The following is a 6,347-nucleotide window of genomic DNA, read 5'->3' as shown; positions in this document are numbered from 1 at the left end:
GAATAATCTTACGTATTTTATAATTGCATGAGTATTAGCAAGAGTTAAGCAGTGGTTCTCACTTTACTGTGCATAAGAATTGCCTGAAGTGTGTGTTAAAAATGCTGATTTTTGTCCCTCTTTCTTGACTTACTAAATCTCTATCTGTGTAGAGAGAGTACAGGATTCTGCATTTTTACCAATTCCACCTCCCTGAAGTTTCTTTCTTTCTTTCTTTCTTTCTTTCTTTCTTTCTTTCTTTCTTTCTTTCTTTCTTTCTTTCTTTTTTTTTTTTAGACGGAGTTTTGCTCTTGTTGCCCAGGCTGGAGTGCAATGGTATGATCTTGGTTCATCACAACCTCCACCTCCCAGGTTCAAACGATTCTCCTGCCTCAGCTTGCCAAGTAGCTGGGATTACAGGCATGTGCCACCATGCCTGGCTAATTTTGTAATTTTTTAGTAGAGACAGGGTTTCTCCAAGTTGGTCAGGCTGGTCTCAAACTCCTGACCTCAGGAGATCTGCCTGCCTTGGCCTCTCAAAGTGCTGGGATTATAGGCGTGAGCCACCGCGCCCGGCCTGGTTTCTAAAACTGGGGGCCTGAGACCTCCATGTTGAGCTGTTTTCTTGGAATGATGAAGTGCCCTTACACCACACACAATGTCTGTTCCAGAAAGGCTTTGGACAGCAATGAGTAGTGAATGAAGTAAGCCATATGAAGGCAGGATTAGCTATGGGGCTGGGAGGGCAACTAAGTTTAAGGCCATTCGCTTGGCCATTCTTCCTTCTTCCTTGCTTACACAGCCCACCGTTGCTCAGATCACATAAAGTGGCCACAGTCATCTCAGTCCTCAATGGCAGATTTGTTATTGCCCAGTAGCCTCCTTGGTAGCTAGCCGTGGCCATACGTTCCAGTTCTGGATAAATGAAACCCAAAGAGCAATTTGTTGGGGGAACTTCTGGAAAAGATGTCCTCCTCTCATAAAAGCAGAGAGATGTTGGCCAGGTACAGAGGCTCATGTCTGTAATCCCAGCACTTTAGGGGGCCAAGGTGGGAGGATCACTTGAGGCCAGGAGTTTGAGGCCAGCCTGGGCAACATAGCAAGACTCCAGCTCTACAAAAAATTTCAAAAAAATAGATGTGGGAAGAGAGTCCCCTTCTTCCCTTCCCTCTCTGGATGGTGGTGTAGGCAGATCTGGTGTTTAGAGGAGCTGCAACCTTATTGTGATCACTAAGTCAAGGCAAGGAGTGTGGCAGAGATGCAGAATCACCCAGGAAGGACTTTTCTGCAGGTTTCTAGTTGGCTGAAACAACTAAATGTCTCTATTTTCTAAGGCAGCGGTCCCCAACCTTTCTGGCACCAGGGACCAGTTTTGTGGAAGATAATGTTTTCATGGACCAGGGGTGGGGGGAATGATTTCAGGATGATTCAAGTGCATTACATTAATTGTACACTTTATTTCTATTATTACATTGTAATAGATAATGACATAATTATACAACTCACCATAATGTAAATCAGTGAGAGCCCTGAGCTTGTTTTCCTGCAACTAGACAGTCCCATCTGGAGGTGATAAGAGACAGTGACAGATCATCAGGCATTAGATTCTCATAAGGAGTGTACAAACTAGATCCCTCGCATGCACAGTTCACAGTAGGGTTTACACACCTGTGAGACTCTAATGCTGCCACTGATCTGACAGGAGGTGGAGCTCAGGTGGTTATCCGAGTGATGGGGAGCAGCTGTGAATACAGATGAAGCTTTGCTCACCTGCCCACTGCTCGCCTCCTGCTGTGCAGCCTGGTTTTTGCAAGGACCACATGGACACAAAGAAGGGAACAACCAGTCCATGGCTCAGGGGTTGGGGACCCCTGGTCTGAGGCACTCTTGGCTCAATATTATTATTATTATTTTTGAGACAGAGTCTCACTCTGTTGCTCAGGCTGGAGTGCAGTGGCATGATCTCGGCTCATTGCAACCTCTGCTTCCCAGGTTCAAGTGATTCTCCTTCCTCAGCCTCCTGAGTATTTGGGATTACAGGCGCCCACCACCACGCCCAGCTAGGTTTTGTATTTTTTAGTAAGACGAGGTTTCACCATGTTGGCCAGGCTGGTCTCAAACTCTTGACCTCAAGTGATCCACCCACTTCAGCCTCCCAAAGTGCTGGGATTATAGGTGTGAGACACCATGCCCAGCTGGCCCCATATTCTTTATTTGCAGTTGAAGGTATTCTGTCTAATAGCCTTATTGTCCTCCCCTACCTATACACATGAGGGACCCGTCCTAGAGATTTTGTGTGGTAATGACGGCTCCAGGAAACTTCAGGCTTGAATTTCCCAGTGGTCTGGGCCCTGTGAGATATATGCATCTTTCTTAGGAGACAGGAGTTCTTGGAGAAAAGCTATCATGCTCCTTATCCATAGGGAATGAAGAACAAGCTAGCAGGGCTTGCTTCGTAATTGCAAGGCCAGGTACAAAATAAAAACCTGTTACCCCTTGTTTAAAATTGACAGGACCCCGTGTGATTGCACAGGTCACCGGTTCATGAAGCCAAACCTTCAAGAGAGAGATGGTTGTGGGTTCCTGCCTGCCAGCCAGAATCCAGCCACATGGGTCTACCCTGGTGATAAAGAGGTTTCAGTTGTCCTCCAAGTCTCACTGTGTTGTTTCCTACTCAGTTTCTTGGTAAGACTATTTCTTTGGAGCTTATGTTTTCTTGGCCTGGGTGTCTTAATTTTTTTTTTTTTTTTTTTTTTTTTTGAGACAGAGTTTCTCTGTTTCACCCAGGCTGGAGTGCAGTGGTGCGATCTCGGCTCACTGCAACCTCTACCCCCTGGGTTCATGCAATTCTCCTGCCTCAGCCTCCCGAGTAGCTGGGATTACAAGTATGTGCCACCACATCTGGCTAATTTTTTATGTTTTTGGTAAAGATGAGGTTTCATCATGTTGGCCAGGCTGGTCTTGAACTCCTGACCTCAAATGATTTGCCCACCTCGGCCTCCCAAAGTGCTTTTTTTTTTTTTTTTTTTTTTTTTTTGACAGAATTTCACTCTTTCGCCCAGGCTGGAGTGAAGTGGCACAATCTTGGCTCACTGCAACTTCTGCCCCCTGTGTTCAAGCGATTCTCCTGCCTCAGCCTCCTGAGTAGCTGGGATTATAGGTGCCCACAATGATGCCCGGCTAATTTTTGTTTTGTTTTTTTTTTTAGTAGAGACGGGGTTTCACCATGTTGGCCAGGCTGGTCTCGAATTCCTGACCTCAGGTGATCCACCTGCCTTGGACTCCCAAAGTGCTAGGATTACAGGTGTGAGCCACCGGGCCTGGCCAATTTTTTTTTTTTTTTTTTCCAGACAAAGTCTCTTTCTGTCACCCAGGCTGGAATGTAGTGGCAAAGTCATAGCTCACTGTAGTCTTGAACTCCTGGCCCAAAGCAATCCTCCTACCTCAACCTCCCAGATAGTTGGGACTATAGGCATGCACCACCATGCCTGGCTAAGTTTTAAATTTTTTTCTAGAGATGAGGTCTTGCTATGTTACCCAGTCTGGTCACAAACTCCTGGCCTTAAGCGATCCTCTGGCCTTGGTCTTCCAAAGTGCTGGGATTACAGGTGTGAGCCACTGCGCCTGGCCCTCTAATTTTGACATATTTGTTCAGGTATGTTTTTCCTCCAAACTTCTGCAGGAGAAAAGGAAACCAATTACCAAAGCTGCTTCTCTGCACCAGCCATTTTCACATGAATTATCTGTTTTATCATCGCAACAATCTTTAGAAGAGAGATGTTTTACATTTCTTCTCCATATATATATATACATATATATACACATATATATACATATATATACATATATATACACATATATATACATATATATACATATATATACATATATATACATATATACACATATATACACATATATACACATATATACACATATATATACATATATATACATATATATACATATATATACATATATACATACATATACATATATATACATATATATACATATATATACACATATATACATATATATACACATATATACACATATATACACATATATACATATATATACATATATATACATATATATACATATATACATATATACACATATATACATATATATACACATATATACATATATATACACATATATACATATATATACATATATATACACATATATACATATATATACATATATACATATATATACATATATATACATATATACATATATATACATATATATACATATATACATATATATACATATATATACATATATATACATATATATACACATATATATACACATATATAATATACATATATATACACATATATATACACATATATATACATATATATATACACACATATATATATATACACACACACACACACACACACATATATATATATACACATATATATATATATATATATATTTTTTTTTTTAGACAAAGCCTGGCTCTGTCACCCAGGCTGGAGTGCAGTGGCATGATCTTGTCTCACTGCAACCTCCGCCTCCTGGGTTCAAGTGATTCTCCTGTCTCAGCTTCCCAAGGAGCTGGGATTACAGGCATGCACCGCCACACCTGGCTATTTTTTTTTTACATTTTTAGTAGAGACGGGGTTTCACCATTTGGGCCAGGCTGGTCTTGAACTCCTGGCCTGGGATTACAGGTGTGAGCCACTGTGTCTGGCCATGTTTTATATTTCGGTATTACAGATGAGCAAACCAGGATTCAGAGGCATGAAGCGACCTGGGGTGTGGTTGGGATTTCAACTGGAGCGGATCCATTTCCAAAGTCTGGACTCTTTCTTCTGTATTGCATTGCATTTTTCCTCCCACTGCTGCCTCTTCCTACTCTGTAAAGCTCTAATGACACATTTTGTTTCCATGAGCAAGCCCCCTCCCTCCCAAGTGAAGTGGGAGCATTACGTCTTGTGCAGGTTTCTCTGTCCACGGCAGGGGATGTTTTAGCAATTACTTTACACTCTGTTTAATCCTACGGGAGTCATTACTGTTGGAGGGTAACAATAAAACAGGCTCGTTGGAATTTCCTGAAGGTAAGGCTCTCCTCTAAACAGTTTCATTGTGCTAAACAGTAATGGCAGAGGCTGTTCCTCTCCATGACCACTTTGATTGGCAGGGAAATCCAGACTACAGGCTGGAGCCCATAGTCTCTTCTTTTGTCATGGGGATTGGGCCACGTTCCAGGCACCATTCCAGGGCTAGAGCCAAAGCTGACGAATGTCTCTGATAATCACCTTCCCCCAACTTCCAGCCCAGCCCTTTGTATTCTGCAAATATTTCCTGAGTGTCCACTCTGATTGTGCTGCCCTGGGGTGAGATTTGAGACAAAGTCTCTGCTCTCGTAAGTTCCCTATCTAGTAAGAGATAAAGACAAGTTAATACAAATATGGCAGTTCAACAGTTAAAGTCTGTAGGAAAAGAGGAATGGATTACTTTTTTGCAGGGAATCCAAGAAGTTTTCCAGGAAGGATGATCTCTGAGTTGGGCTTTGAGAGATTAAGAACAATTTTCCAAGTCATGTGGGGGTGAGAGTAGGGGACATGTTTAAGCAGAGGAAACAGCACGTCCAAAAGCATGAAGCAGCATTGTGTCTGTAATAGTTAGCTATTACTGATAACAAATCCTCCCAAAACTCAAGGGCTTAAAATGATAATTATTTCTCATGAGTTTGCCTGTGGGTTGGTGGATTTAGTCTGGGCTTAGCTGGGGACTGGCTTTGTTCCATATGTCTCTCATCCTTTTCCTGCTACCAGATCACTAACAAGTCTGTTGTGGCATTGGCGGAGGTAAAAGCCAGGTAGAAACATGCACTGTTGGCCCGCTGCAGGGTGGCTCACGCCCGTAATTCTAGCACTTTGGGAGGCTGAGGCGGGTGGATTGCCTGAGCTCAGGAGTTCGAGGCCAGCCTGGGCAACATGGTGAAACCCCATCTCTACTAAAAATACTAAAAATTAGCCAGGTGTGGTGGTGTGTGCCTGTAATCCCAGCTACTCGGGAGGCTGAGGCATGAGAACCACTTGAACCCAGGAGGTGGAGTTGCAGTGAGCTGAGATCGTGCCACCACACTCCAGCCTGGGCAACAGAGCAAGATGCTGTCTCAAAAACAAACAAACAAAAAGTACTGTCATTTTGCCACATTCTCTTGGCCAAAGTAAGTCACATAGCTAAGCCTGGAGTCAAGAGTGGGGAAGAAGCCCTTCCCATGATAAAATAACACTGCAAAATTAAATGACTCATGGTATGGAATAGGGATGGGTAAAAATTTGGGGCCATTAATGCAATTTACCAAGGAAGAGTTTCTCAAAAGTGGCCTT

General features: G+C 42.8%; 1 annotated feature.

Moving 5' to 3' along the window:
• Nucleotides 4,888-5,403: an enhancer, noted in NCBI's record as "H3K27ac hESC enhancer chr7:68922873-68923388 (GRCh37/hg19 assembly coordinates)". NCBI's record gives its function as "activates a minimal SCP1, AML or CMV promoter by ChIP-STARR-seq in naive H9 embryonic stem cells {active_cell/tissue: H9 hESC(naive)}" and the evidence as "EXISTENCE:reporter gene assay evidence [ECO:0000049][PMID:30033119]".

This window comes from Homo sapiens, chromosome 7, assembly GCF_000001405.40.
Source record: "Homo sapiens chromosome 7, GRCh38.p14 Primary Assembly".
NCBI lineage: Eukaryota > Metazoa > Chordata > Mammalia > Primates > Hominidae > Homo > Homo sapiens.
The sequence above is the reverse complement of the archived record's forward strand: the minus strand, read 5'-3'. Positions and strand labels throughout refer to the sequence as shown.